We start from the raw sequence: 16248 nt of genomic DNA on the forward strand, positions 1-16248 counted from the left end.
TTGGGGTTTTATTTTGGGATTTGGTAGCTGAAGGTCAAGGTTTATTGCCAGCTGGCTGTAATTTCTCCTTAAGCTCAGAGATCTCAACTATATGTAAATTATGAAATCACTTTTTCTGTTTTTTGGTTTTAGTCTATCTTCCATTAGATTTGACCAACTCTTCCTCCCAGCCACAATGTTGACTAAAACTCCATAGTTGCAGAAAGTCAAGCTCCAACCCCGGAAACACCAGCTGGTTAAAAGAAATCAATATTTTACCCCCCAAAATATATTTATTTGACATATTATAAAGTGGCCCAGCCAGACCTTCCCTAATTTGGATCTAGGAAAGATTAGCTAAGAGTCTTCATTCTGAAGGTTCCCATGTAAACATGATTAAATAAATTGTATACTTTTTCTCCCATTAATCTGCCTTTTGTGAGTTAATTTTTCAGCAAAACTTCAGAGGGTCAAGGGGAAAGCTCCTCCTTGGCCCCCACAATTTGGCATAGCCAGTAGGATCCCCAAAATCACTCTTCTCTTTTGGAAGTCAGAATGAAGAGAACTCAGGAAACTTACAAGCCAGCAAATAGGTAAGAAATTCTTATCAGTGAGCCTCCTGGCCTCCTTGTGCAATCTGATTGAACAGATGGTTAAAAATCACCGTTTTGTCTCAAAGTTTTGATTATTGGGAAAAAAGGGATTTGTGTGACTAGTCTTGGGGTGTAGTGACTCTGGTGTATTTTTGGTACTTTATGGTGTGAATGTTCATATTGTTTGACCCCTTGCCTCTCAGAAATAGCCTTTTTTGTTGCCATTTTCCTTTGTCTTTCTGTGTTGTTCTCTCATAAAGAGCAGTGTCATAGGGTAGAGAACATGGGCCTAGAATCCCTATAAGCCTGCTGTTCAAGCCAGCCCTGCAGATGAGTCCATTTTATGGTTCTGACTAGACCGGTGTCTGTTTAGACAAACTTCGCTGTGGGCTCCTGAGAGGGAAACTGGATGAGTTTTCCCTCTTGTCTTGTTTTATGTGCTTGGGTTACTTTTCTAGTCTCTGCCATCCAGATGGCATGATTTTTCAGGGTCAGGCCAGCCAGCCAATCTGAAAAGACTAGGAGTCCAAGACACATAATATTTTAAGTAACACACTGTTCTGAATGTGTCAAGCTCTTGAGAGGAGTTTTGACTTAAAAGTTCCATCCCTCCGGGGCTTTTGCAGTCTTTCGCTGGCTTAAGTCTATTTCTGAGAGAGAATTTTGGAGGATCACGGGGATTGCTTCCTCTATGCCCTCTCCAGGAATATATGGTAAAAACCTGGAAAATTACCACCTGGGCTTTAAATGAAGAGGCTTTTGAATTGAGTCACTACTGGAACTAAGTACACTATTGGAAATAAAAAAGATTTTAGAGATCTCTTATTCTAAGCAATTGATGGAAAGGTTAAATTTTTAAAAGAATCCGTAATAGCGTTATAGCTAGCCTTAAAAATTCTCTTTAAAGAGCAAAATCTGACCTAAAACAAAGTTAAAATCCCTTGTACACTCAAACTGCCTGCTTTTGATTCCATGTGGGATTAACAACGGAAGCTGCTCCACTTTGTAGTCTGGTAGTTAAAATTCATGATCATGGAATCAGTCCTTTTGGTTTGATATTTGTATGACTTTTGCCACTTATTGATCCTTTTCCCTTCCATGGACAGCTTTTGATTTCCTGTCTTCCATCTGTGGGGGCATATGGTGGTTTTGGGCCTTTGTGTGTAGATGACCAGCTGAGAAACTGAGACCATAGAGTATATGGCCAGACAGACAAAAATGAGTTGTACCCCATTTGTGGCCTTTTTTTTTTTTTTTTTTTTTTGCTGTCTTTGGTGTCATTCTGTTACCAGCAGCAGATCCATATGGGCCTAAAGCAACCTCAGTTCTTGCCTCCTCAGAAGAAAGAATTTGTCTGAGGGGTATAAAGGAGAAGAAGATACCAAAGCAAGTCTTAGAGTAAGACTAAAAGTTTATTTAAAAGCTTTAGAGCAGGAATAAAAGGAAGTAAAGTACACTTGGAAGAGGGCCAAGCAGGTGACTTGAGAGATCAAGTGTGCCATTCGACCTTTGACTTGGGGTTTGATATGTTGGCATATGAGGGTCTTGTGTCCCTTCTCCCCTGATCTTTCCCTTGGGGTAGGGTATTCACATGCGCAGTAGCCTGCCAGCGCTTGGGAAGGGTGTATGCACAGTACGTTTACTGGAGTTGTACACATCTCACTTGAGGTGTTTTTCCCTTACTAGTTGAATATCCCTAGGAGGTCAAATATCACTTAAACTCCACTATTTGCCATTTGATGCACAAGGTTGAACCCACTCGCCCCACTCCTGAGATCTTATCAGGAAGCTGCTGATCACCAGTTTCAGGTGTTTCTGTTTATCGGGAGACCGCCTTTTCCTGAGTCTGGCTATGACCAATTATTATTTTGGAGAGAGAGTTAACAACTGCCTGACCATCATCTGATGGTTGCCTGACATTCCTGGTGTTGGGGAGAGGAGCCCTATCCTGCCCTGGTCATGTCTGACTACCTACCTACTGTAACAATTCTGGATCTTAAGAGGACTGCTTTGCACTGCTTTGGAGATACTTTGTGTGTTCTTGGCTAAGCCATAATGGTACGAACAGGAGGCAGGAAAATACTGGGTAGGAGAGGGCAGAGTCCCTGGCAAGGGTTCCACCTGCAAGCCTGTGCCTGTGGCCCTAAATGAGAACTTCACATCCCTGTTTCTCCCACCGAGTGTTGCTTTTTCCAAAACCACCTGGGCCTGCTATGCCCCCAACCTATAACCATAAAAACCCCAAGCTCCACTGGCAGAGGAGCAGAGCAGTGTGGCAGAGAAGGAGAAAAGAGAACAAGCAACTGAATGTTGAGATGAGAAGGAGCAACTGAGCATCAGAGACTAGGAAAAGATGCAGCTTAACTTCAGAAGACAAGACTTCAGAGAGGAGCCCAGACATAGATGGCTGGGCTTCAGGGAAAGATCACCTTCTTCCCGCACCATCCCCTTTCCAGCTCCCCTTCAGCTCAGAGCCACCTCCATCACTCAACAAAACCTCCACGTTCACCATCCTTCGAGTCTGTGTGACATGATTCTTCCTGGACACCAGACAAGAACCTGGGTACCAAGAGGGCAGGGTATATGTCTCCCCACTGAGCTAGTTAACACTTAGCCATCTTTGGACAGCAAATACCAAAAGAGCATTGTTTGTAACACATGCCCTCTGGGGTTCCAGAGGTTGTGGGCAACTGCTAGAATGTGCCATGGGCTGGTACGGGTTCATTCCTGCCAGCGCCTAAAGGCACTCCCCCCAGCTCCTGCACCTGCTCACCTGCATGCTCCCCCTCCCACAAGAGGTTTGAGCTCAGCAGCTGAGCAAAACGAGCCACCACCCCTCCCCACTCCTTCAGGTTTGGTAAAGGAGTTCAAAGGCCAGAAATATCAGCTGTTTATCCCAGGTAATAAGAGATCTGAAAGAATTTTTTTCTTTTAAAGACTTCTATGGTTAGCAGTCAGCTTCATTAAAAGCTGATATCTAAGCTATAATTACAATTTTTTTTTAAAAGAGCTTTATGCTGTTTCTCTTTTTGGATCCTGTCTTGGGGATTTTTATTTATTTATTTTTTCTGAATCCTGTCTGTTCCTCCTTCCTCTTGCAACCTCCAATGTCATAGAAGGGACCAAAAGAAGGGGAGGAATTTCTGACAATCTAAGATCTTTTGGGGAAAACATAAAAGTTGACAAAGACTCCTCTGTTGGGAGGAAAATTTTGTTTTTCCTTATGAAAACCCAAGAGTTGTAAGCAGACAGATGCCTCTCAGGTCTAAAACTCTGCACTGTTTTATATTGCATTACCTGGTCTCTAGCTTTTGCAGGGTACCAGATATTACTTTGTACTATGAAAGGTCTTGACATTGGTGTGTGCACTGGCTGGTGAGTTGGGCAATAGCTACAATGTTAGGGGTGGCTGAAGACAGTTATTTACAGGAAATGGTCATTACTATAGGGGGCTACTCATTTCTTTGCATGTTTGGATGAGAAAAGCATGGTTTGGGCCCTAAAAACCACATGCTTTATTGTCCCTGTTCCTTAAAGGACTCCACCCTGAAGCCAGTTATCTAAATAACACACAAGCTAAGTTGAAAAAGAACACCTATTAAATTAAATCAGTCTTTGAATCTCTTTGTGAAAGAAATTTACATCTTTAAAGGAAATCATCATTTGTAAATGCACCTCTGTCTCTGCACCTAAACCGCTAGGAAGTTTAACTACAGGGAAGACAGTGTCTTAAAGTTAACATAACAAACCTTGCTTGCCTTTGTTTTGTTCTAAGTTCTGTGCCTTTGAGGTATGCATTTTCTACTTTCTCTCCCCTAAGAGTCATGTGTTTGGAGATGCAAATGTAGAGTTGCCTAGCTAATAATTGTTTTAAGGTATGAAACAGGTAATAAAGAGATTGATACTCTAAATTAGGGGAGAGAAATTTTTTGAAACCTGACAAATGAAAAATCTTATAACTCTGTAAGATCTGCTTCTATGTGTCTATATGTTTCTATGTGGCATGTGTATGTGATGTTTCACTACCAAATTTTATGAAAGCACTCTAATCAATAGGCTTAAAGGAAATTAAGTGCTTAAATCAAATATCAGAACAACATGCTAGCCCAAATGCCTGTTAGCTCATGAGACTTTAGGAATCTTTGATAAGTAAAACTAGTTGTAAAATTTCTTTAGTAATTTAAAATCTAGAGATCATGTTATATTAGGTAATCCCAGGTTTTTCACTGTAAATTAGGGTTACTTAGTTAGAATAGTTGTTAATAAATATAATTAAAACTACTAGATATAAGAGAATTCTACATGCAGAGTTCATAAAGAAACTAAGATGCGTTTTGGTAAAGGTTATAAATAACATGAGGATGTGGTTTTTTGCTAAAGAAAAAGTAAATTTGTCTAGTTTGGAGGCTACATAAAGATTTCTTCAAAATGAAGAAAAAATGAGACAGATAAAATTAAATGGATAGAAAGAGAAAGGATAAAAGGGTAGGGAATGAGGAACCCTTGACGGGGTCATCCATGGTATGGAGCTGCAGCTGTGCTGTATTAAGTTCCTAAAGGTAGGCTGGGCGCGGTGGCTCACGCCTGTAATCCCAACACTTTGGGAGGCTGAGGTGGGCGGATCACGAGGTCAGGAGATCGAGACCGTCCTGGCCAACACGGTGAAACCCCGTCTCTACTAAAAAATACAAAAAATTAGCCGGGCGTGGTGGCGGGCGCCTGTAGTCTCAGCTACTTGGGAGGCTGAGGCAGGAGAATGGCGTGAACCCGGGAGGCGGAGCTTGTAGTGAGCCGAGATCACGCCTCTGCACTCCAGCCTGGGCGACAGAGCGAGACTCCATCTCAAAAAAAACAAAATAAAAAAATTTAAAAAATAAAAAAATAAAAAAAAAGTTCCTAAAGGTAAAAGTTACCAGTGGAGTTTAGCAATGGATCCAGCTCCTGGGGAACTGGTTCACAAGATACATGAGGAAATGCAAACTAATAAGGAAAAAGAGAAACATTCAATCCCTTGGTTATTGTTATCTATAATAGCTAAAACAAAAGTAAAAGAGTGTGCTGGGCTGGGCCTTGGCCAAACCAAGTTCTGATGAGGGACTGTCTGATCTCAGATCACCAGCCTCAAAGCCACCTGCAAAGGGGAAAGATAGACTGGGGCAACAAAAAGTACCTCTGAGACCTGTGATTACCAAGAAGGTAGCTAATGTGAGGGAAGGGTAAAACCAATTAACTACTGAAACCAGAGGGCATAATGTAAAGGAACTGTTCCATTTTGCACATCAGTATCATCAGCTTCCTAAAAAACCTTTACTAAAACGGATTGTAACAGTGACTGATTTTGGAGTAGTATCTTGCATTTTAAATACGACAGAGTGGAAAAAAGATGTGTAGGTTGATGCAGGACACACAGCTCACTACTGAAAAATCACAGATGGGCAAATGTGATACAGACTGACAGGAGGGTATTCTTAGAGAACAGCTGATATAGAAGTTAGAAAGAAATTATTGGGCTGGGCACGGTGGATCACACCTATTGTCAGGCCTCTGAGCCCAAGCCAAGCCATCGCATCCCCTGTCACTTGCACGTACACACCCAGATGGCCTGAAGTAACTGAAGAATCACAAAAGAAGTGAATATGCCCTGCCTCACCTCAACTGATGACATTCCACCACAAAAGAAGTGAAAATGGCCTGTTCCTGCCTTAACTGATGACATTGTCTTGTGAAATTCCTTTTCCTGGCTCATCCTGGCTCAAAAACCTCCCCCACTGAGCACCTTGCAACCCCTACGCCTGCTCGCCAGAGAACAAAACCCCTTTGACTGTAATTTTCCTTTACCTACCCAAATATTATAAAACGGCCCCACCCCTATCTCCCTTTGCTGACTCTCTTTTCGGACTCAGCCCGCAGGCACCCAGGTGATTAAAAGCTGTATTGCTCACACAAAGCCTGTTTGGTGGTCTCTTCACACGGACGCGCATGAAATTTGGTGCCGTGACTCAGATCGGGGGACCTCCCTTGGGAGATCAATCCCCTGTCCTCCTGTTCTTTGCTCCGTGAAAAAGATCCACCTACGACCTCAGGTCCTCAGACCCACCAGCCCAAGGAACATCTCACCAATTTTAAATCGAGTAAGCGGCCTCTTCTTACTCTCTTCTTCAACCTCTCTCACTATCCCTCAACCACTTTCTCCTTTCCACTCTTCAATCTCTCCCTTCTTTCAATTTCAATTCCTTTCATTTTCTGGTAGAGACAAAGGAGACATGTTTTATCCGTGGACCCAAAACCCCGGCGCCGGTCACAGACTGGGAAGGCAGCCTTCCCTTGGTGTTTAATAATTGCAGATACGCCTCTCTGATTATTCACCCACGTTTCAGAGGTGTCAGATCACGCAGGGACGCCTGCCTTGGTCCTTCACCCTTAGCGGCAAGTCCCACTTTTCTGGGGGGGGCAAGTACCCCAACCCCTTCTCTCTGTGTCTCTACCCCGTCTCCACCTTTCTGGGGGGCAAGAAACCCCTAACCCTTCTCCTTCACTCTTAGCAGCAAGTCCCGCTTTTCTAGAGGAGGGGCAAGTACCCCAACCCCTTCTCTCCATGTCTCTACCTCTTCTCCGCCTTTCTGGGGGGCAAGAAACTCCCAACCCCTTCTCCTTCATCCTTAGCGGCAAGTCCTGCTTTTCTGGGGGAGGGGCAAGTACCCCAACCTTGTATCTCTGCGCCCCGATCCCTTATGTCCATGCCCCGACCTCTTATATCTCTGTGCTCCGATCCCTTATTTCCACGCCCCAACCTGTTATATCTCTGCGCCCTGATCCCTTATTTCCATGCCCCGACCTTGTATCTCTGCGCCCCGACCCCTTTCCCACTTTTCTGGAGGGTAAGAACCCCTGAACCCCTTCCCTCCTGTCTCTATCTTTTCTCTGGGCTTGCTTCCTTCACTATGGGCAACCTTCCACCCTCCATTCCTCCTTCTTCTCCCTTAGCCTGTGTTCTCAAAAACTTAAAACCTCTTCAACTCACATCTGACCTAAAACCTAAATGCCTTACTTTCTTCTGCAATGCCACTTGACCCCAATACAAACTCAACAGTGGTACCAAATAGCCAGAAAATGGCACTTTCAATTTTTCCATCCTACAAGATATAAATAATTCTTGTCGTAAAATAGGCAAACGGTCTGAGGTGCCTGACGTCCAGGCATTCTTTTACACATCAGTCCCTTCCTAGTCTCTGTTCCCAATGCAACTCGTCCCAAATCTTCCTTCTTTCCCTCCCGCCTGTCCCCTCAGTCCCAACCCCAAGCATCACTGAGTCTCCAATCTTCCTTTTCTACAGATCTATCTGACCTCTCCCCTCCTCGCCAGGCCGAGCTAAGTCCCAATTCTTCCTCAGCCCCCTCTTCTCCACCCTATAATCCTTTTATCACCTCCCCTCCTGACACCCGGTCTGGCTTACAGTTTCATTCCGTAACTAGCCCTCTGCCACCTGCCTAGCAATTTACTCTTAAAAAGGTGGCTGGAGCTAAAGACATAGTCAAGGTTAATGCTCCTTTTTCTTTATCCCAAATCAGATAGCGTTTAGGCTCTTTTTCATCAAATATAAAAATCCAGCCCAGTTCATGACTCGTTTGGCAGCAACCCTGAGACTCTTTACAGCCCTAGACCCTAAAACATCAAAAGGCTGTCTTATTCTCAAAATACATTTTATTACCCAATCTGCTCCCAACATTAAATAAAACTCCAAAAATTAAATTCTGGCCCTCAAACCCCACAACGGGATTAATTAACCTCGCCTTCAAGGTGTACAATAATAGAAAAAAGTTGCAATTCCTTGCCTCCACTGTGAGACAAACCCCAGCCACAACTCCAGCACACAAGAACTTCCAAATGCCTGAACCGCAGCGGCCAGGCGTTCCTCCAGAACCTCCTCTGCCAGGAGCTTGCTACAAGTGCCAGAAATCTGGCCACCAGGCCAAGGAATGCCTGCAGCCCAGGATTCCTCCTAAGTCACGTCCCATCTGTGCAGGACCCCACTGGAAATCGGACTGTCCAACTCACCTGGCAGCCACTCCCAGAGCCCCTGGAACTCTGGCCCAAGGCTCTCTGACTGCTTCCCAGATCTTCTTGGCTTAGCGGCTGAAGACTGACACTGCCTGATCACCTCGGAAGCCCCCTAGACCATCACGGACTCCGAGCTTCGGGTAACCTTCACAGTGGAAGGTAAGTCCGTCCCCTTCTTAATGAATACGGAGGCTACCCACTCCACATTACCTCCTTTTCAAGGGCCTGTTTCCCTTGCCTCCATAACTGTTGTGGGTATTGACGGCCAGGTTTCTAAACCTCTTAAAACTCCCCAACTCTGGTGCCACCTTAGACAATACTCTTTTAAGCACTCCTTTTTAGTTATCCCCACCTGCCCAGTTCCCTTATTAGGCCAAGACACTTTAACTAAATTATCTGCTTCCCTGACTATTCCTGGGCTACAGCCACATCTCATTGCCACCTTTTCCCCCACTTCAAAGCCTCCTTCACATCCTCCTCTTGTATCCCCCCACCTTAACCCACAAGTATAGGATACTTCTACTCCCTTCTTGGTGACCGATCATGCAACCCTTACCATCTCATTAAAATCTAATCACCCTTACCCCACTCAACGCCAGTATCCCATCCCACAGCACGCTTTAAAAAGATTAAAGCCTGTTATCACTCGCCTGCTACAGCATGGCCTTTTAAAGCCTATAAACTCTCCTTACAATTCCCCCATTTTACCTGTCCTAAAACCAGACAAGCCTTACAAGTTAGTTCAGGATCTGTGCCTTATCAACCAAATTGTTTTGCCTATCCACCCCATGGTGCTGAACCCATATACTCTCCTATCCTCAATACCTCCCTCTACAACCCATTATTCTGTTCTAGATCTCAAACACGCTTTCTTTACTATTCCTTTGCACCCTTCATCCCAGCCTCTCTTCGCTTTCACTTGGACTGACCCTGACACCCATCACGCTCAGCAAATTACCTGGGCTGTACTGCCGCAAGGCTTAACAGACATCCCCCATTACTTCAGTCAAGCCCAAATTTCTTCCTCATCTGTTACCTGTCTCGGCGTAATTCTTAGAAAAACACATGTGCTCTCTCTGCCGATCGTGTCTGACTGATCTCTCAAACCCCAACACCTTCTACATCCTAGGCATGGTTAGATACTTTCGACTTTAGATACCTGGTTTTGCCATCCTAACAAAACCATTATATAAACTCACAAAAAGAAACCTAGCTGACCCCATAGATCCTAAATCCTTTCCCCACTCCTTTTTCCGTTCCTTGAAGACAGCTTTAGAGACTGCCCCAACCCGAGCGCTCCCTGACTCATCCCAACCCTTTTCATTACACAGAGCTGAAGTGCAGGGCTGTGCAGTCGGAATTCTTACACAAGGACCGGGATCGCGTCCTGTAGCCTTTTTGTCCAAACAACTTGACCTTACTGTTTTAGGCTGGCCATCATGTCTCCGTGCAGTGGCTGCTGCCACCCCAATACTTTCAGAGGCCCTTAAAATCACAAACTATGCTCAACTCACTCTCTACAGCTCTCATAATTTCCAAAATCTATTTTCTTCCTCACACCTGATGCCTATACTTTCTGCTCCCCAGCTCCTTCATCTCTCTGATCCACCTGACGTTCACCCCATTTCCCCACATTTCCTTCTCCCCTGTTTCTCACCCTGATCACACTTAGTTTATTGATGGCAGTTCCACCAGGCGTAATCGCCACACACCAGCAAAGGCAGGCTATGCTATAGTACAAGCCACTAGCCCGCCTCTTAGAACCTCTCATTTCCTTTCCATTGTGGAAATCTATCCTCGAGGAAATAACTTCTCAGTATTCCATCTGCTATGCTACTACTCCTCAGGGATTATTCAGGCCCCCTCTCTTCCCTACACATCAAGTTCAGGGATTTGCCCCCGCCCAGGACTGGCAAATTAGCTTTACTCAACATGCCCCGAGTCAGGAAACTAAAATACCTCTTATTCTAAGTAGACACTTTCACTGAATAAGTAAAGGCCTTTCCTACAGGGTCTGAGAAGGCCACCGTAGTCATTTCCTCCCTTCTGTCAGACATAATTCCTTAGTTTAGCCTTCCCACCTCTATACAGTCTGATAACAGACCAGCCTTTATTAGTCAAATCAGCCAAGTAGTTTTTCAGGCTCTTAGTATTCAGTGAAACCTTTACATCCCTTACAGTCCTCTGTCTTCAGGAAAAGTAGAACAGACTAAAGGTCTTTTAAAAACACACCTCACCAAGCTCAGCCACCAACTTAAAAAGGACTGGACAATACTTTTACCACTTTCCCTTCTCAGAAGTCAGACCTGTCCTCAGAATGCTACAGGGTACAGCCCATTTGAGCTCCTGTATAGACGCTCCTTTTTATTAGGCCCCAGTCTCATTCCAGACACCAGACCAACTTAGACTGTGCCCCAAAAAAACTTGTCATCCCTACTATCTTCTGTCTAGTCATACTCCTATTCACCATTCTCAGCTACTCATACATGCCCTGCTCTTGTTTACACTGCCGGTTTACACTGTTTCTCCAAGCCATCACAGCTGATATCTCCTGGTGCTATCCCCAAACTGCCACTCTTAACTCTTGAAGTAAATAAATAATCTTTGCTGGCAGGACTATGCTGAATCTCCTTAGGCACTCTCTAATCAGATGTCCTGGGTCCTCCCAATTCTTAGACCTTTTATACCTGTTTTTCTCCTTCTCTTATTCCATTTAGTTTTTCAATTCATACAAAACCATATCCAGGCCATCACCAATCATTCTATACAACAAATGTTTCTTCTAACAACCCCACAATATCACCCCTTACCACAAAATCTTCCTTCAGCTTAATCTCTCCCACTCTAGGTTCCCAAGCCACCCCAATCCTGCTCGAAGCAGCCCTGAGAAACATCGCCCATTCTCTCTCTCCATACCACCCCCCAAAAATTTTCGCCACCCCAACACTTCAACACTATTTTGTTTTATTTTTCTTATTAATATAAGAAGGCAGGAATGTCAGGCCTCTGAGCCCAAGCCAAGCCATCGCATCCCCTGTGACTTGCACATATTCGCCCAGATGGCCTGAAGTAACTGAAGAATCACAAAAGAAGTGAATATGCCCTGCCCCGCCTTAACTGATGACATTCCACCACAAAAGAAGTGAAAATGGCCTGTTCCTGCCTTAACTGATGACATTGTCTTGTGAAATTCCTTTTCCTGGCTCATCCTGGCTCAAAAACCTCCCCCACTGAGCACCTTGCAACCCCCACTCCTGCCCGCCAGAGAACAAACCCCCTTTGACTGTCATTTTCCTTTACCTACCCAAATCTTATAAAACGGCCCCACCCCTATCTCCCTTTGCTGACTCTCTTTTCAGACTTAGCCCGCCTGCACCCAGGTGATTAAAAGCTGTATTGCTCACACAAAGCCTGTTTGGTGGTCTCTTCACACGGACGCGCATGAAACCTATAATACCAGCACTTTGGGAGGCCGAGGCGGGCCGATCACCTGAGGTCAGGAGGTCAAGACCAGCCTGGCCAACATGGTGAAACCCCATCTCTACCAAAAATATAAAAATTAGCCAAGCATGGTAGCACACGCCTGTAGTCCCAGCTACTGGGGAGGCTGAGGCCACAGGGTCGCTTGAACGCGGGTGGCAGAGGTTGCAGTGAGCAAAGATCATGCCACTGCACCCCAGCCTGGGTCATGGAGTGAGACTCCGTGTCAAAAAAAAAAAAAAGAAATTATTTAGATAGTGAGGGTTCGGGAGTCCTTGGTAAGGTTTTCCTTTCAATGAAAAGCAGCCCCAAAATCATTTCTTTTCTAACAAAGAGCAACCTGTAAAATCAAGCTGCAGACATAGACACACAAGCTAGAAGCTTGCAAGGGTGAATGCCAGCAGCTGTGCCAATAGGAAATGGCTACCTGGGGCTAGGCAGGTTCAAAATGGCATCTCCATCTTCCCTTCTCCTTGCCAAACCACATGTACAGTAAGGAAAAGACAGCATGGCGCTGGCCAGGCAAAGACTCCATTTGCCTAATAAGATTAGGGTGGGACGACCAGCTTCCTCACCAGCTATGTAAACATCGCACCTGGTCCAACCAATCTATGGGCCCTATGTAAATCAGTCATAGCCTCCTCAAGCCTGTCTATAAAATCCGGTACACTCCACAGTGGGCCAGAAGTCCCATTCAGGTGCCCCTCTCTTTCGCAAGAGAGAGAGCTGTTCTCCTTTCTCTTTCTTTAGCCTATTAAACCTCCGCTCCTAAACCCACTTCTTGTGACCACTTAATTGATTTCCTTGGCATGAGATGACAAACCTCAGGTATTTACTCCAGACAATGGTGCTGTTTCATAGCTAGCCTAGTGGACTGGATAAAAGCCCTAAGAAGGGGAACTATCCAACTCTACTTAGTAATGCCAAGTGGAGCACGCCAGATGCAGCTGCTGATGTGCTTCATCTACAAGCCATGAGGGACTCACTTTATGATGATAGGAATATTCACCCACTAAATATGCCCATTACCTAGTTCATGATAAATGCTGTGGTTATAGGGGCTAAAGGGGCTCCTTCCAAATGGGCACCCTATGTAATGCTACTCCTACTGTTGTCCAGAACAACACGAGAAGCCGTAGCAAATTGGCTGTTTCAGCTTCCCCTCATGGGTCTTACAGATGCTAATAATACATTAAAGTAATTAAGAAGAGCATGGGGAAAAGCAAAAGGGAGAGTCAAAGGACTCATTCCAGGAAGGTGGAAATTTTTAAATGGTTATTCTAAAAAATAAGGTGAAGAAAGAAAACAATGATAGAAAAACAATGAAACTCAGAGAAGAAATGAGAGAGAAACATGGGATTCATCCCATCAGGGTAGTAGAAGTCTTTAGATGGTTATTAAGAAATTAAACGAATAAAATAGAAACTGATGGGGTTAAAACAAAGGTCTTAGTACAACATTACCAAGGGCTGGATGGACCAAAGGGATTTTGCTAGTTCCCCAGCATTAAAGGGCCCCAAACCTTTTTATTCCCTTTACCCTAGATTGGAGAAATTTTTTTAAAAAGTCAAAAGACAAAGATTACAATGAGAAAGCTGGCCAATAATTGCCTGGGGCATAGTGAGGCAGGTGAACCAAGATATGGATTGACAAAAGGGCCTAAGTCCCTTGGCTCAACCTCCTGCTGGGAACCCAGGTCCTTTTCAAAAGAAAGGGTAAAACGGTCATAAAAGAAGTTTCTGGGACCAGAATGTAAAAATGCAGGATTGCAAAAGTTGGATTTTTTTTTTGTTTTTTTTTTTGTTTTGTTTTTTTTGAGATGTAGTCTCACTCTGTTGCCCAGGCTGAAGTGCGGTGGTGCGATCTCGGCTCACCGCAACCTCTGCCTCTTAGGTTCAACCAATTCTCCTGCCTCAGCCTCATGAGTAGCTGGGAGTACAGGCGCCCACCACCTCACCTAGCTAATTTTTGTATTTTTAGTAGAGACAGGGTTTCACCGTGTTGGCCAGGCTGGTCTTGAACTCCTGACCTCAGGCGATCCACCTGCCTCAGCCTCCCAAAGTGCTTGGATTACAGGCAAAAGTTGGAATGTTTAAACAGGCATTTTCTAAAGTGATTGTGTCTTCTTTACCTAAATGTTTATAAAAATGGATCTTGTATCTGACTGGGAGAGGTTTCCCCTACCTAGTACTATAAAACAGAAAGGATGTAAATGCGCCCCTCAGGCAATATTAAATGGACATGTGCGGGCAGGAGAACAACACATGCTGGGGCCTTTTGTGGGGGGCCTGAGGGAGAGCATTGGGAAGAATAGCTAATGAACACTGGGCTTGACACCTGGGTGACGGGATGATATGTGCAACTGGCCATCATGGCACACGTTTACCTACGTAACAAACCTGCACATCCTGCATATGTACTCCTGAACTTAAAAGTTGAAGAAAAAAAAAATGGACATGCTAAATGAGAACCAGTAAGATTGCCCAAGCCCACAGAGTGGAGAGTAAAAGCTAGAATGCTGGTGGGAACAAATTCTGTACTTTGATAGCCCTTTGTAGAGCATTTATTGCAGGTTTTGGCAAAAGTCTGTGAGCACTTCCCAATGATGATTACTGAGACTTTAAGAGAATTTCCACTTGAGGAGCATTTACTGCCTTGCTAAGGGACATTAAGTGAAGCTATCCCTATGCTAACAGGGATAGCAGTGCCCCATTGAAGTGCCCAGGGTTCCCTAATAAAATGGAAATGGTTTATATAGGATGATGCCATCTGGAGTGTACAACGAGGAGATACTCATGAGCAAAGAGCTACTTTCTCCCTAGGACTGCGTCTGAAGCTATGCGAGGAGCTCCTGGATTTTACATTACCCAATAAATAGCTCTCACCTGACTGATAAAGAGCTGCTTGGTTTGTGGATGGTAGCTCCAAGATGAAAGGACAATGTCCTGCTTGGAAGGCTGCTACTCTGATTGTAAAGCATACTTTTGTGAGCAGAATATACCTCTCTGAGTTCTCCAAAATTTGGAAACTATCTGTGAGTATTCCTGAAACTTATTTTGCACATAAATTGGCCATACTATCATTTCTTTTTAGTAAAAAAGGAGAGATTAGAGAGAGAGAAATTCTATTTCAAAGGAAAACTATAACACAATTATTATTGGATTCCAGCTGTGACTTTTGTTTTGAATTATTATTTTTCTGCAGTGGGTCTCTAAAAAAGAACCTAGTTATAATTTTCTTCATGATGTTTTTAGTTAGCTCTCTCATGGAATAAGTTCCTCTTCCATTCTGACATATAAATTCTCTTTTGTCAAATGATTAATGTTATTTATTTCCCCATTGTTTCACTTCGTCTGAGAAAACTGAAGTTGCGGTGTTTTGAAAACTACAGATGATTTAAGAGCCTATGAATCTCCCTAATTTGATATCCCACCGGGCCTGATCTGTTTCTCCTTGCCAATCCCCTGCTGCTAAAACTATACAAGCACCCTCCCTCTAAGCCCGGGGACTATCATGGAAGAAGCGGGCACATGAAACTGTTAGGTCTGGTTTTCAGGGATATAATTAATTCAGACCCTACAAATAACCTGGCCTTTTGGCTTTGGTTTTTAGCTCTTTTATTGCATAAAAGGTTTTAAACATTGATGAGTGCCTGCCCTCTATGCCATCTGGCCTAGAACACTTAAATTGGCTGTTAAGTTTTTTGGCTCTATGTCTCTTGGCCACAAGGGCCCCACCAAGGGACAGGACGGACCTGAAGCAGATAGCCATACCACCTCAGCAACAACATGGGACAAAATGAAAGTGTGGCCACTGATGCTGCCTCTGGCCAATCTTAGCCAAAAGGGGGAAAAATGAGAAATAAAAACAATTCTAAACATCCAACAGACTGAACACACCTCCTCTTGGCCAAGGAAACCCCAGAGAAACCTGAAAAGCTGAGTTCACAGCCATGGTGAAATGGGAAGTTGGACACACTTCCTGATACTCCCACCTTCAGGGGAGCCATCAGGCTTTCCTCCCTAAGAGCTAAAAAGAAACTAGTCCTTTCAAAAGACTACTAGCTTATCTTCACAGGGACACAACAAAGACAAGATTAAACATGCTTTCACCCCTCCCTAAGGTAAGATGAGATTA

General features: G+C 44.3%; 1 protein-coding gene across 3 annotated transcripts in view, besides 1 other annotated feature; it reads right to left on the reverse strand.

The window, feature by feature from the left end:
• HTR7 (5-hydroxytryptamine receptor 7) overlaps nt 1–16248 on the reverse strand; it is a 117217-nt gene that overhangs the window by 60360 nt on the left and 40609 nt on the right. The window lies entirely within an intron of this gene.
• Nucleotides 3905–4623: an enhancer, noted in NCBI's record as "OCT4-NANOG hESC enhancer chr10:92564844-92565562 (GRCh37/hg19 assembly coordinates)". NCBI's record gives its function as "activates a minimal SCP1, AML or CMV promoter by ChIP-STARR-seq in naive H9 embryonic stem cells {active_cell/tissue: H9 hESC(naive)}" and the evidence as "EXISTENCE:reporter gene assay evidence [ECO:0000049][PMID:30033119]".

This window comes from Homo sapiens, chromosome 10 (assembly GCF_000001405.40).
Source record: "Homo sapiens chromosome 10, GRCh38.p14 Primary Assembly".
NCBI classification, from domain to species: Eukaryota; Metazoa; Chordata; class Mammalia; order Primates; family Hominidae; genus Homo; species Homo sapiens.